Below are 16,222 nucleotides of genomic sequence, written 5' to 3' on the forward strand. Positions count from 1 at the left end.
TTGAGCTAGAAATGGAAAGAGAAAGTTAGAATGAGTCTTGTGCTTGCATTCTCCGTCTACAAAATTTGTATGTAATCACACAGATAAAGTTCAGACATCTTATACTCTTTGACTATACTGAAATATATGTTGTCAGCAGTGCCTTAATGAAAAGTGATTGTTCTCTAAAGGAATCAAATGTAACAAGTTTAACATTCATGGTTCTTTATTTTTCAAAAATAATTTAGATTTCATTCTCCTTTTTTATTTTAAGAAGCCCAACAGAATTACCATATGACTATAATCTCATATCCTAGATTCAAAAACCAGGAGACCAAACACAAACAATGCCTCAGAGGAGAAAAGTTGTGTCTTAAGAATCAAAGTATTCTTGGGTATCGTAAGTGATTGCTGACGTAGAGCAAAGGGTTAATGAGAATGGGCTGGCATATTAAATCAGAATGCACGTTGAAAGCAAATTGCCAGCCTAAAGGAAAATATACGTATCATTGTCTCTGGTGAGGGAGGGGGACAAATAACTACTAAGATGTCCATACATGCCATACTCAGAAGTCATCCTTGATATCTTTTTTTCCAGACAGATTGCAAACACAAGTCTTTCTCCCATATGGGGGTGTGTGTGCAGGGGGTGTGGCCTGAAAATGCAGCATTGATTCTGGGAAAACTGAAACCTGGGAAGCCTGGGTATAATAGTTCAAGAAAACAGAAATGTTTTTCTTTGGCTGTTGTTCCTGAAGTTACTTAAATGAGACTCATTGGCTATTGATCTGTATATATTGAGATTACAATAAAACATAATGGACCAGTTTCTCTCTCCCCTGGGTCACAGGATTGGCCTTTTATCTCTTGAGAGTAATAAATCATGGTCTTGGATTTAAGAAAATATTCTGGGATCTGGTTGGCAGCTGATTTATTTTTAAGACAGTGATGTCAGGAAAAAAAAAAAGCATAACCCAGAATGTGACTGTAGTGGGAGAATAGCGATTGCTGTTTAAAATATTAAGTAAGGCTTCCCTGCTTTCAGAACCCATCATCCCACAGCAAGCTGAGTTGAAGCCCCTTACCAATATATTCACATCTTTCTTTACAATGGCACTTACATTCTTTTGATTTCTTTTTATCTGTGACAGATCCTAGCTTCTCTATTTATCTCTTGAATCTAATTTGCTCTATGACATCAAGCTTTAATTTTATCATTATTATTTTGCTTCATTTTAAGCACCCATGGTGTGCCAGGCATTGGATAAAATAGAAAAGATACAATCCCTGCTGTCGCTGGGCTCACACATTTAAAGAGATTTGACAGGCAAAATATCCTGTAATTGGCAATAGGTAGTCCTCATGCTTCCCCCCGCCCCTTCTCCCTTTTGAAGCAACTTCATCTCTCTGAACAAGCTTAAGAAGTTCCCTAGATCAAAGGTGTCAAAAACCAGAAGGGTTTGGAACAAGTGTCAGAGAGTAAGCAAACGACTTTCTGAGCTGTGACTCTGCTCCTCGACTGCCCACGTGCTCTCCGCTGTCTGCACTCCTGCCTCACCTGGGCTGACTCGGACTCTCCACCTCCTTTGCTGCTTCCGGCATGAGCTACCCAGGAGCCTAAGGCGCTCCTTCCCGCAACTCCGGTCCCCGCGCCCCGGGACTGCAAATCCTTTAAACAGAGGCCCCAGAGCTAGGGGTTTTCCCAGGCTCTGGTGGGCGTGGGCTGACAGTCGCTGGGAGCCCCGCAACAGGGGGGATGTCCAGGCAGGTATGCACCCAGCTCCCGGCGTTTCCCGGAGTCACCACAATGTTTCCCTTTCTCTCTCCCCCACGTATGCTGCTAGGGGTACTCCCCAGATAGGATTTTCTTTGTCTTTTCTCCTAGTAACACCGAAGCCCTCTCGTGCCCGGGGACTGCAGAGGAACGCCAGACCATCCGGACCTTGCGGGATGGCTCGGTGTGTGTGTTTTACTGTGTGTCGGAGTGTCGCGCATGTGTGCGTGTTGGGGCGCGTTATCAACAGGGGCCTAGGGCACCCCCACTCTTTCTTGCTCTCTTCCCCCATCACTTCATGGACCTCCGAGGCGCAAAGCGCTCGACCCTCTCCTGGGCTCAGTGGCTTGGGTACTCCGGGCTGAGCTCAGCTGGGGAGTCCCCTTACCCAGCCCGCACCGGCACCCCGAAGCTTCAAAGTTGCGGCAAACAGTTGCGGGGAGCAGAGGAACTGAGGTCCAGGCCAGCGCGCCCGCGGTCGCTCGCCTTGGGGAGCAGGCTGAGCCGAGGGTCGTGCGGGTGCGCGGCAGAGGCGGTAGGAGGCGGAGGAGAGGGGGGAGAAAGAGGGGGCGGTGGGGAACAGCTGCCGGGGTAGGCGAGGCGCAAGGTGGCTCCCCGCGGCCCCGCGCCCCGCGGCTCTCGGACGCACCAGGCAGCCAATGGCTGCGCAGAGGTGTACAGCAGATGGCGTCTGACTGCGCCGTTCCTTCCTCCTCCTCCTCCTCCTCCTTCTCTTCCTCCTCCTCCTTCTCTTCCTCCTCCTCCTCCTTCAGTGCTGAGGAGCCAGAGTCGCCGCCGGGTTGCCAGACGCTGGAATGGGTGGTCTTCCGACACACACCACCATCTTTCTTGCGCTCGGGAAGCTCGGGGCTCAGCGGCTCCCAGAGGTTACGGCGGCGGCTCTGGCGAGACGGGTGAGTGCAAGCACGCGGAGCCCCGAGTCGGGGATGCCGGGCCCCCTGGCCGGCCGACTGGGGCGCGGGGTGGCAGCGCCGGGGAAGGGGGCGCGCTGCCGGCGCAGACTTTGCTCTTTCCTCGCCGGACAGCCATCGTCGCCCCTTCTCCCAGCCAGACGCGGGAACTTGGAAGCGGATCTTCTCGGACGCCTCTGGCTTGGGGCTGCGGGAAGCGTGGGCTGCCCGGGGCGCAGTGTGCGGAGACCCTCTAGGCGGGCGGGGACGCCCCACGCGGCGACCTGAGCACCGACCTCATGCAACGGGACCGAACCTTGGGACCCGGGCAGCAGGAGCTCTGTTCCCTTCACCTCCAGCTTGGTTTGAGGGATACTGATGAAGGAAACCGGGGGTTTCCCGTCCTGCGCGGAGAGCCTCGGCGCCCAAAATCGAAAGGCCGGGAGTTGTTCTGCAGGCTTTGCAAACAGGTTGACTGAGGGTTTCCTTTCCCGTAGCGCTGACTGCGAAATCTGTGCATAGGCGTTCAGTGCCAGTGGAGGATAGCTGAGCAAGCCAAGAAGTTTTGCAGCTTCCTCTGATTTATCGGTGGAGTGTCAGGAGGCTGTAGCAACAGTTTACATTTCCCCTGTCCCTGCGAGTGGCTAGGGGCAAGCTGGGCTCGGACGTGATATCCTGCTGTTTGTGGAGAGGAAACTGGGAACGGGGCTTGAGAGTGAGGGGCAGGGAGGGGGGGACAGGCATATTTTCTACTGCATCGCCCATCTGCACCTGTCCCCTTTGCTGTCTTACATGTCCCATAGTATTAAAGTTATTTGAATAAGCAAATGAACCCCGCTCTTTGGTGACCGCGTATTTTGAAGTTGGAAAACTTTGCAGGGGACGAGGGAATGTTGAGGAGGGGGCGTTAAGCTCTCTCACTCTATCCCTTTTTAAAGACAAGAAAAAAACTTTCGTTGGCGAAGGTGGTACTTTTTTCTTTTGGAATGTCTGAGCTCAGAGCTTCCCATAAGAGGTATTGCGATTCAATACTGTACAGTCAAGGTGAAGTTCCACTAAGATTATGGGACCGTGGCATATTCTACGGAAGATACCAGGGTTCCTTGGCGCTCTGTTCATTGCCAGGGTGGTCTGCTGAAAGCCGGCAGTTTCCCACCCTCAGACTCCTTGGAGCTCTTTAAATGACGGTCTGCCTGGTGTTTCTCAGCGGTACACCTGTGAGTGCTCTGTTATCATGGAAATGGTAACCCATGCAGGTAGGGCTCATGCCAACCAGACTGTGGTGGGGTGTGTGTGTGTTTGTGTGTGTGTGTATACATGCGCGTGCGTGTGAACGTGTGTGTTTGGAGTTTCCTTTTGACAGGTAATCTTTGGATGTCAAAGGGATACAGTTATTTGTCTGGCAGTGTCAGGGCAATCTGAGTTTCTCGAGTAACTAGGAGGAGGTAATCTCCAGGGAAGCCTTTTTGTGCTCTTGACTGTCTACTCAGCAGTTGGTGAAGGCTTCCTGAAAGCCACTTAGGGTGTTACTAACCAAATCAAGAAGTCTTACTCAGTGGTGAGTGAAAGCTCGTGTCTTTGTGGGTTAAAAGCTGTTTATAAAGTTTCTGTCTTGAGGCTTCACTTTGACAGACTGCTGTTTTTAAACCTTAGTGCCATTAATAATAGGAGTCTTCTTTTGAAAAGTAATGTGGCCAGTTCTCTGTTTTCTGAGGGTAGTTGATCTAATCTGGTAGATTCCCTGGAATTGTTTTATTTTCTATCCCTGGGAAGTGTGTGTGTGTGTGTGTGTGTGTTGTGTGTATTTGTGTGTGTGTGTTTTCTTCATCTACCTGCTGAGAGTTGAGGGTTAGAAACTCTTTTTCATGCAAATTTAAGTGAAAAAAATTATGAAGAAAATTCTTCTGACACTGTAACAATATACACAGATACTTCTGAAAAAATTGTAGGTGTCATTGTTGACTTTAAAAACATCGGATAGTCTCGTATAAATCAGCACAGACAGATCCAGCAGCCCTGAACACCTACAAACCATTCAGGGTTTTGGATATTCTAGATTAATCTGTGATAAGGGCTTGGAGATACGTGGTCCAGGAAAGGGCTGTCTACTGTTGGTGGACTTTGATAGTCTGTTTTGAGGGTTCATAATACGATGAGCTCACTTTATGTCAACCTTAATATTTAAATCAATACTTGAGAAATGATCTTACAATATTTCTTAATCTTCTGGCCCATTGTTTTCCATCAAAGTTGTTGATTGTTAGAGAGTTGAAAGGCTAAGAAAGAGGAACACTGTTAGACAGGTAGAAAATAATTACCGATCATATAAACAATGTAAATACAGACTCTACTGTTTGAAGACTGACATTAACAAATTGGTAACGAGAGGTACCTTTCTGTTCTCTGCTGAGTGTGCCTTTTGAGAGAAAGTAGGGAAGGAATGAAAGGAAAATGGTACTAAATTGTACTTCATCAGAAGGGCTATGAAGGACCTTGTCTGCTTGCTACAGATCCTATTTCTGAAGGAATAACTCTTTTGTTAATATCAGCAAAAAGAATGTTGTCCTTAAATGATAGACCGAAAAAGCAGAATAAAAAGATAGGCTCTAAGTTAAAGGAGGGAGAATGTCCAAACAAGAACAATTCTAAAGCATGTCAACTCACTTTAATTATACTTCACAAATTGAAACTGGAGTTGTATGATTCCTTTAAAGAAAAAAAGTCTTGCCAAAACTTCAATTCTGCTGTTCTGCACACTTTACAAAGATTAGGCATTAAAGTAATAACATTATGTCAAAAGTTTGAATAGAATGATGAAGAATATTTGACTGGTCTTATTTAGTTAACTGTGAAAATGACAAATGATACAATATATTAAATACATGATTAAGACAAACAGATTAAAGAATTCTAAGTAGTGACAACTATATTAGTTGATGGGAAAAAAAGAATAGCACTATTAAGGCTTCAGAGATGCTCTACAGACAAAGCATAAAGGCTGGGTCTTTGAATAACTATTGGGTATTGTATTATCAAAAACTACATGAGTTACTTAGATATGCTGTTGGATTTTTGAATATGGATTGCACATAAGTGCTTCATATTTTCAAAAGAAAATGTTTCCCAGTATATAACTATAAAAGAAGCTGCTTCATTAACTTTAACACCAGGCAGCTTCCTAAATATAACACAGGTCCTTAATTTAGAGCTGTTAACAAGATTAATATCTAAGTGATAATTAGCACGTTAAACCTGTGAAAGTAGAGGGATTTTTAACTCCACTTCTAGTCTAGAAATTTACTATTGTGAATTTTAGTGGGGTCTGTAGTTTAACAGATCTAAAATCACAGGCACCTGTGCTCCAAGATGATAAGCATTCTATTCCCACCCTTTAAAACTTCTCCATCTACCGAGATTATTTTGTGGACGTTTTAGTAGGATGTTCATGGGTGGTTATTCTTGAGAGCTAACAGTGGCTATTTTTGAAATGAAGCCAAGGAGGATTAGGTAGTTTTTGGTCATCTTGTAAGTATCTCTTGACAAAAGGAAATAGGAATCCCAGCCACTGAATTCCTACATTTATGCTTTCATTCTAAGCCATGAATCCTGGTATGGGCTAGTTATACAAAATATAGAGACGTAGTTATTTTGCCAGGTTATAGTCCACCGGTGATTTAGTATGATCATTTTGTTGCTACCACATCAAGCATTTCATTTGAAAGGGAAAATCAGATATTAGTGAAACCCAATTACTCCGTATCTTTTGGTAAAACTTTGAAACTAACTCTAGAGATGCTGTAGAATAGTTTCACTGCTGGTAGGGACTCATGCTTTTGGTAACAGGAGTTGAATCTAAGCGTGGTTTGTAAGCTGAACAATGAAGTCATCTGGCATCTATAAGAACTACTTTAAGTGTGTATATACTGTTGTGATGACTAAAACACAGTATGTATAAAAGCATCGCTAAATTCATATTAATTTTTGGTTACTAGGTATTTTTGCAATTTATGGATTCTAAAAACACAACTCTTTGCTGTGATGTGGAAATCAGTAGAATTTTTTGACGTTAAAAAGAAGAGGTCCACCTACTAGAAAAGGTTAGACATTGACCTAGATGTGGAGATCTGTGAAAGTGTGAAAATGTTTCCTGCATGAATAAAAAAGGCTATCATTGTTGAACTTAGGTGTTTTGCAGCAAGGGACATGATGCTCGCTTTTGATTTTGCCTTTCTGGGCATATTTTAATTATGAGCCTCTTGTAATTAAACATGCCATAGCTAAAAACAGAATCCTAAGTAACTAATGCACAAACGATTTTTCAATGCCTTGACTTGGAAGAAACTCATGGCCGTGTTCCACTTGCCTGCATGAGGGCTGGCTGCTGATTTGTGTCCTAGTGTTATGTTAGCGAACAGCTCATTACTTCTGGAAAAATCACAATGTTGAGTAAGGCTCTGAACTTCGTGGCAGTTAGGCACGATTGCCTTAGTCTTAGACTGCAGCTTTGTAGCAATGCATATTTTAATTTTGAGTTCTTTCAGATGGTTATTTTAAAAAGCATACCATGTAGTATGCATACATGAAAGATTTTAATTATAATAAGACTAAGGCTTGCAGTAATCTCTTCTTGCAGAGTTTGCTTCTGGGCTCTCCTCTATTGATTTTTGCCTTTTGTGCTTACGTTAGACTTATTCAGGGCAAGTTAGACAGGGCACATGAATACAGCCTTACTGGTAAAAATATTGAACTATTTGTAAAATATTGAAATACTTGTAAAAATATTGAAATACATGTGCTCCAGTAGGTCAATGAGTATTGCTCTGAGCCCTCTGAAGGTCCCACTATCATCCTGGTCCTACAGACCACTCCCCTTAGATCACTTCTTGAGAGAGCCACTGGGTGTCACCCACCTGGTATGGCAAAGAGGCCTTGGGACACACTCCAGTGATATTACCTAAGGCTGTTCTGATTGGCTTATGCCCCAGACCTACCAACTGGTAAATATTTTAAATATTATCCCTTGATATTTGTACTCGTGACAAGAATGAATGCAATCATTGGCATTATCAAGTAGTTGAACATCAAATGTTTACATTTTAATTTTCTCTGTGTCTAATATTTCTGGCTGTTAAAACACTTAAATATTGTTATCTTTATATTATCTAGGAGCCCAAAGGTATCAAAACCCCTTTCATCTGAGTTATCAATTCATATAAAGCCACTCTAACTTCAATTTAATTTGTTTTCTTAGAAAATATAAAATAAGGATATTAAGTTCCTTCCTTCCTGTTAAGAGGAAGAGCCAAATTTCTCACCCAGGTCATCTGCCACAACTGTAAATTCTTCTACCTCACAGCTGTCTCAGACCACTTAATTAAAATGTATGTATGTGGGAGTAGTTCAACAAGGCTTCTTTCTTTTGGGGAAAAAGTAATTATTTTTTTTCAATCTCTGTTTCTAGTCTTCAGAATTAACTCAATTTATTTCATATTGACTTCCATTCACTTTTGTGATTAAATATTGTTAGTAGGGCTTTCATTTCATCTGACTTGACCCATTCTATGAACTGGAATATCTTCTGGCCAATCACAGAGAGGCAAGGGATGTTAATGACTTTGAGTAAAATTTTTTGGTGCTTTCTTCTGGATCTCTTCTAGCTAAAACTAAACTCCAGCACTGCTAGATGGTCCCTGAAAAACGTAACTTAAATTATGCTTATTTCTTGAACAGAAAAAATAGGATTCCAGATACTACATCAATTTAACTCTTGCCTGTCGTTAATTTCCTATTATCCACTTTCTTCTTCTTTTAGACCTATCTCTTTAAAGTCACCCACAAGACTCACACTTATTTAAAGTGGCCAAAAATGTTGCTTTCCCTACTCCTGTGGTCCCAGTTATCCAAATTATATCTATTAGTCAAAATCCAGTTCCAATTATACTTCCACTGAGCTTTCACTGATGATGCCAATTCACAAAGCCCTCTCTCAGTCTGAACAACTCAGGTGGTAAATTCTAATTTTCATGTTTGATTGAATCTATTTTCTTATTAGCATCTATGTGTGGAGTTCTGATAGTAAAGGATTTAAATGGTGAAGGGCACCACTCTCTACTGAGAATTCTGGAAAATGTTGAAGAGGGGAGTGTGATGGAGAGTAGGGGCCTGGGTAATAACAGCCATTTGAGGATCTGTAAGGTAAGGCTTACCAATATCCAGGTAGGCAACAAGTGTGACTAGTAATTATTACTATTAGTTAATTACCTATGAATTGCTGCATACCTAGCTAGGTACATTAGAATTTGTTTGTCTAATCCTCATAATAATGTTGCAAAGTAGGTACTGTTATTTAGTCCCTTTTTTTTTGTAATAGGAAACAATCTGAGGGACCTCTGGTACCTTGTCTAAGGTGAATGCAACTGGTAAACCACAGAGCCTAGATGTGTATCCCAGATTGTTGGACTGCAAGGCCTATTCTGCTTCTGATAAACCAGACTATCCAAAGCCCGAGGTTTTACTCAGCAGGTTCAGTCTTTACCGCTGCTGGAATTTATCCAAAATGCAAGAACACACACACTTACCTACTGCCAAGGCCTCTATAGTCAATGGAGATGACTGACAGGAAGAATATTGCTGAATTACTTCTACCTGGAGGTAGAAGCATCATTTGGAAATATGGAAAAAGGCTGCATTTTGATTTTGCACAGACCTTGTGCATGAAGATTATATCATCTCAAAATCATAAAGAACTAGATACATTCACTTATAAAAGTGTTGGCTTCCTGAGGAACCATTGGAAAATTCAGAAAAGACAGACATATTTAGGAAATCCACACCATATTTCTTTGTATTAATGGCTTATCATTAGAACAGAACTGTCCTGCCAACTATGCAAAGCATTAGTTTTTGAAATTAGCATAATGAATACAAAAAAGGGAAAATGAGTTGTTCGATGTGAGTGGGGGTTGCTGGTGGGTGCCTGGGTCACTCTTGTGATTTGGTGAGGTGAGTGCTCTTGTCTGTTGTCTTTGCTCTAAGTATATCCCAACTGGAAATTGTTCTTGGTCAAAGAGGACAACTTACTGAGAAGAGAAGAACTGTTCTTTAGTTGAGCATGTGTAAGAAGTCACAGTTCTGAAGATCTGTTTCTTGAAAGTATTTTGATGGCTCAGTATGAGTTTTCTTGACATGAACTTTCATGGAAGTGTATAATAAACTCATTTCCAATACTAATGTCTTGTAACTATTTCTAAACAAATATACTGTTGGAATCTGACCAGTTTCTGTCTTTGCCTCTGGCAGAATCATATAGGAAGAAGCTCAGAAAAGTCAAAGTTGTAAAGAGATTTTTACTCATTCCAGGAATGAGCTTTTTCACATTCAGCGCTGTCTAAAAGTGTGATCGGCTGTCTCAGGGAAATGTGAGTTGCCCGTCTTTGGGAGTATTCAAGCAGAGTATGAGTAACTACATGTCAGGGTGCTTTGCAAAGAGGATGTGCACATTGAATATTAGTAGATGAGATTTATTGAACATATACTGTGTGCCAGACGCTACTCTACGTGGATTAACTTATGAAATCCTCTCAAAAAACTTATGAGGTTGATTGTATTATTATTATTTTTATTTTACAAATATAGAAATAGTGAGTGATTTGCGCCAAGTCGGGAGGTGCATGCAGGCATTCTCCTTCTAGAGCAGTACAGGTCCTTAGAAATTGAACAAGAGCCACAAATACAATTCATGTATGCAACCTTGTATTTTTTAGTAGCCACATTAAAGAAGAAAACATTGAAATTAATTTTAATAATATGTCTTATTAACCCAATGTATACAAAATATTGCCATTTCAATATGTAGTGATTATGAAAGTTATTAATGTGATGCTTTAGATCTTCGCTGTATTACATCTTTAAAACCCAGTCTGTATTTTACACTTACAAGCACATACATTTTAGTTTAGCCATGTTTCAAGTGCTCAGTAGCCACATGTGGCTGGTGGCCACCATATTGAACATGCCTAGAATCTGTACTATTAACGACTCTACCCTACTGCCTGCCTATTGACAGAAGAGGGTTTCCTTTTAACGGTACATACCAGACTACATAGTAGAGGGTTTCCTTTTAACTGTACATAGTAGTCTTTGTGTATGTAAGACCATTCATTTGTTTATTAATGTTTTCTTTAGATACCGGCATGGATAATCTATTTAAAAAAAAAAAAAGAAACCACTTCCATGACTGCTTTCAAGAGCACAAATTAAAAACCCATCAGATAGGAAGATTTCTCTCTATCTCATTACTCTCATCTACTAAAAACTGAATCCCACATACCTTTCATTTTGGAAGAGGGGGCATGTCTGGCTTGCTTCTACTTTACAACTCTTCATACATAGTATGAAATCACCTCACCCTTCTTGTTTCCAGCCTAATAATCCCAGTTTCTTTTTTTATTTTGATTAGTTTGTTAGTGTGTATGTGTAGCCTAATACACATGAAATGGGCATAGCCTAAAAGTAACCTTTAACTAAGATTTTAAGTAACCAGTGTTTCTGATTTACATTTAATGCATATTTCTCATCCCTCTTTTACTGTATCTTTATTATAATGACTGTAATTGGAGATGACATGCAGCCCACCAAGGTGATATTTCTGATCAAATGGTAGTAATTTTTTGGTAGATTTGATTCATTCCCTGGTAGGTAGCATTCTTCTCAGTGATCTGAAGGTCTTTTCTCAAGTTGAATTTCTGATAGTAACAGACCCTCTGGGCTGTGACATGCTTCAATTGAAAAAACAGAATGTGACATTCCTTTCATTGTGTGCAACATATAAAAAAAGTCCTGTGTTTCCTTTGTGAGTGCAACCTCTATTCAGCTGTACATGACAATGTGAAACATTTTAATAATTCCAAGTCTCTTTTGGTGGGGGGATGCATATTTCACAGGTAGCTTAAATCTTACTTCAGTTACTTTTAAAAAGAATATTAAGAACAAGACGTCTGTTAGAAAAATTCTAAACTTCATAAAGAAGAACTACCTTGTGGAGACAGACTCTAAGGCTATATCGTGTAAGAGTATGTGCATGATTATTAGATGTTTCCGTTGGATTACAGAGTTGGTGGAATAAAAACATAATGCTTGTGGACATAATATATTCCCAGTGAAGCACTTCTTTTATTTTTATTTTTTTATAGCTAAGCAGTTTTCAAATAGCAAGACAAACGAATGTAAAGTCCAAGATGCATTTGTTTGTAAGCTATATGAATAAATTCAAAGAGTATTTATTGTGCACCTGCTGTGTCCGTGACATAGAGTAGATACACGCAAGAGTAAAATGCCAGTTCCAGTTTCTAGGAATTTACAGTCTACCTATGGAGATATGACATGCACATTCTCTGTACTTGGCAAAGCCAGATCACTTTATTTATATATGTCTATCTCTCTTAGTAAGTATGAGCTCCATAAAAGCACAGAAGGCATCTTACTCATTTTTGGATCGTTGCCACCTTGCAGGGTATGTACTCAACAGGTATGTATTGAATTAAATGAAAGGGGTACATTAATTGAATTTACACATGTGAATTAAAATATAGCTGTCAAGCCATATTTACAGTGGGACCATCTATATAAAATTTGCAATTCAAATAATGAAGACAAAGTCTGGTCTCAATCCTTTTCTACTCCTGTGACTGGATCAGCTCTGCTCACTCCATTGGTGACTTGTAACAAGTCAAGGCACTAGAAAAAGGTTTTCATCTGAAAGGAGTAAAGGATGTGGACATCTTTTTTCAACATGCCAGGATTCTATTCAGATGTACCCTTAATCATACAGTCATTCAATATAAAAAATTATTTTGTTCAGGGGATAAAGAACCTTATCATTCAGTCACACTAAGTGATCTTTGGAAGTATGCATATGGGAGGTGGGAAGTGGAGCAGGATAAAAGTGTATTCACGTATGCCTGCATAGGGCTCCCAATAACTCTTGAAGAATATAGTGTTAAGCAATACCAGGAGGACCATTTAATATTTGTGAGCAAAAGGAATCAGCTAAAAATTAGAAATGCTATATAAGCTGCAGAGGTGAAGCCCCTTTAAGTATCCCATTAAGTGCATAGAATATGCTGCATTGCTAGTTTAACTATTTGAGCCAGTTACAGAACAGTGGCGATTACCCGTGGGGGCATCAGATCATCAAGAAGACATTTCTTCAGCAATTTCCAGGCAAGGAGTTTATTATACTTTGACAGATTAACATAATTCTTCTCAGCCTACTGGGTTCCTCAAGGCAAATTCAGCCAATCTTTATGTACTGGTTGCCTGTAGTGTGAAATATATGTACTATGGTTGGCCCAGTCAAGGTGCACAATGATATCCAAGAACTGGCCATGCTCTTAAGGAATTTTCACAGAGTTTTTATGGAGTTAGGAGAACAAAGAAGGATGCTTCACGGGTAATTATTGAATCTGTGGGGTTTTATAGGTGAGTAGATTCAGCATGGGAAGAAAGGAATTGGGCTCCCTGTCTACCTATTTGTTTCTGTCACAATTTTCCCAGCATTGTTTGGATTCTGGGTTATATATGCTGGTCTTAAATGCAAAGTATTTATATTTTCTTTAATCTTTAATAACATCTTATTTCATGGTGTTTTGAAGTCTGGGGTTAAGGAACCTAGGGGTTAAGATTCAACAAAAACAAAAAATGGCAATAACAATGCCCTCCCATGGCCTCCCAATGCAGGCAGAAGGTTTATCTCTGGTTTACTGGTCCACCTAGAACTTGATAACATTCTTAAACTCTGTGTTTTGAAAACCTGTGATGCTCACAGCACAGTCTAAATAAAGAGAGACTCAAATCCTTATAATCTAAGATAAACAATTTTGTCCTGGCATGTGTCAGTGTGTGGCAGAAAAATGTACACAGGGACAGAATTATCCATTGATTTGGCAACAAGGTTGGCAAGCATTGATGTTCAGCAAATGCCTACAAGATAAAAGCACCTGAAATAGCAAAGTAGTTATTCATCCCCAAAAACTGAAAGCCAAGAGAGGTTCAAAATAGTATGAAATAATTTATGCTGTGAAGACTTAGGAAGGGGAACTAGGCTGATGGAAATATGGTAGAGCATTCATGTGTGCATGCAAGCCCATGCACACACTTGTGCGCTCACACACGTATGCACACACACACACATACAACCAGAAAGAAAACATACAGATATTTGAATGATAGGAAAATGATTCTAAGATGAGAAATGACAGGAAAAGAGGAGAGAAGAGGAGGCAAACGATTCAACTGAAAGGGAAAAACCATTCTCAGCTGTTGGGACTCGACATGTGTTCAGAAATATCATTTGTTCAAACCAACAAATGAGATAATTACAAGGGGTAGAAGGAAAGAAATATAGGGCTCCAGAGGTTTCACCAGTTGCAAAGGTGAGAGAGATCTGAATAACACAATCAGATTATGCATTCTCTTGGATTTAGAGAAGCTTTATGAACAAGACCAAAAACGAATGGGAAAGAAATGAAACGGTGGGTGATGTAGTGAAATTGAAGGTTACTCATAATGTACTGTCAGAAGTTCATGTATAGTACATGAGAGCCCAAAACTTTCCCATTTAATACAAAGCAACTACTCCTGACCCTGTTTCCAGTTACTGCCTCATCTCTTGCCCTCCTTTCAAATTCTAGCTTCTGAAACTAGTAGAATTTGCTCAAGGTCTCCACTTTGCACTCACTCTTCAAATCACCAGTCTGTATTCTGCCCTCACTGGTCCTGCTGAAATAGTTCTGGCCAAAGTAATGAATTACTTCCCAGTTGTCAAATCCAAAAGACATTTTCCAGTCTCTATTTATTGTGGTGATTAAAAGAAGAATCTTAGTATATGAGAGGAGCCAAGAACGGACTGGCAAAGTTCCCATGATCCTGCCATTTTGATTCTCTCTTTTAAAGCTGCCAAAATAACTACTGAAGATTTAGACAAGGAAAACGAGTAATTTTGGACTAAACATAAAATGAAAAAGTTTGACATATATGATACTTGGCCAAAAAGAATAGCTACCAAATAAAGTTAAAATTGGAATTTTAGGTTTTGGAAACAGAGAAAGACACAGGTAAAAGGGAAAATTAATTAGAATTTATTAGTAGAAAATATCACAATGCTTTATGGAAGAAACCCTGTTAACTCTGCAGGGCATGAGGGGAGATGTTGCCTAATACACAGACATAATCCTCTTCCTAGAGGACTTTGAAGCCAAAAAGTTGAAAGTGGCAGAGTGTTAAAGGAATGCATAAAGATGAACATGCAGTCAGACACAAATGTCCTTATAAGCACCAAATGTTTATGGATCCAGAGTGTGGAGAGAATGAAGGGCATACTTATAGAATATTCTGGTTGATGGAATTATCATGGAAATAATCTTTCCAAGAACACCTACAACCCTCTGTCTGCATAGTTCTACATTTGCTTTCACCCTCCTCATGGCACTAGATTAATTTGCTTTCTTCACCTTGCTTTCCTGCTCAAATTCTGTCATTAGATCCACATGGTCTAGACTGGCATTCAAAATCTTACACTCTGAGGTCTCATACTTAGTTTTCAACCATTTGCTTCTATAGTTTCCTTCAATAGATCATCAGTGGCAGCTACACTTGTCCCTAAAAGAAATCCTGTACACGTCTCCCTCCCGTGACTCAGTTCAAGCTTTGGTGTCCCTTCTGCCCCCCTCTGTATCATGTTCACCCAGTCATAGCTGAATGAGGTGAATATCTACCCCCACACTCTCCACCTCATGGTAGAGCCTGCCTTCCACAGCCTTTAACCATGAATCCATCAATGTCCTACCCAGGAATTCACACAAAAGACAAGCCAGGGGCTCCAAAGTTCTATGAGAAATATTTTGATGCATCTTTTAAAAACTCCTCTGTTACCGATCTAATAATTGCTGCTGGGGTTTCCCAATGAAATTCTTAGATATCTGTTTACACACAGTAGGTTTATTCCATATTTACTTTTTCCTCATTAAAAAAATCTGGTCAGAAACCGTCACCTTAAGGAAGTTCAAGAGATAGAAGAGAATGAAATGAAGAAATGTTAGGTCAGTCTTTTTAAAAGAGAAGAGATGCACTGATACCTCTATAAGCACTAGGAACAGACATTTACTAAATTCCTTCCCTGGGCCTATAAGTCAGCTCTAAGGTAAGGGAGGAATTTGGGCACTGCAGAGAGATTTATCTGTAGAAAAAGAATGCATCAGCTCATTTTTAAAAGAGACTCAGGCCATCAAAATCATCCCAAAAGTACACTTTAAAATCCAACAAGTCAAGCAAAACTATGGTTAATGATATACTTGTGTTTATCAGAGCTGGCATTAAGTTTATAATATATTACAGTTTATATTAGAGTTTTATTTTTATGAAGTGTGTAAACTTGAGTACATTGGATCTTCTTGTATCATTTCTCCATAATTATTATCCCTTTTTGGGGACACGTGTTAAAAGGCTATATATATATATGTGTGTGTGTGTGTGTGTGTGTGTGTGTGTGTGTGTGTGTGTA

The 16,222-nt window shown here is 40.4% G+C and overlaps 1 protein-coding gene across 1 annotated transcript in view, besides 1 other annotated feature; it reads left to right on the forward strand.

Annotated features, from left to right (window-relative positions):
• Positions 2,507-3,008: an enhancer, noted in NCBI's record as "H3K4me1 hESC enhancer chr2:137523097-137523598 (GRCh37/hg19 assembly coordinates)". NCBI's record gives its function as "activates a minimal SCP1, AML or CMV promoter by ChIP-STARR-seq in naive and primed H9 embryonic stem cells {active_cell/tissue: H9 hESC(naive and primed)}" and the evidence as "EXISTENCE:reporter gene assay evidence [ECO:0000049][PMID:30033119]".
• The window catches only part of THSD7B (thrombospondin type 1 domain containing 7B), a 912,174-nt gene continuing 898,476 nt past the window's right edge, over positions 2,525-16,222 (forward strand). The window contains exon 1 of the mRNA NM_001316349.2: positions 2,525-2,667. The gene's annotated coding sequence lies outside the window, so the exon portion shown is untranslated. The remainder of the gene's footprint in view (positions 2,668-16,222) is intronic.

This window comes from Homo sapiens, chromosome 2 (genome assembly GCF_000001405.40).
Source record: "Homo sapiens chromosome 2, GRCh38.p14 Primary Assembly".
NCBI lineage: Eukaryota > Metazoa > Chordata > Mammalia > Primates > Hominidae > Homo > Homo sapiens.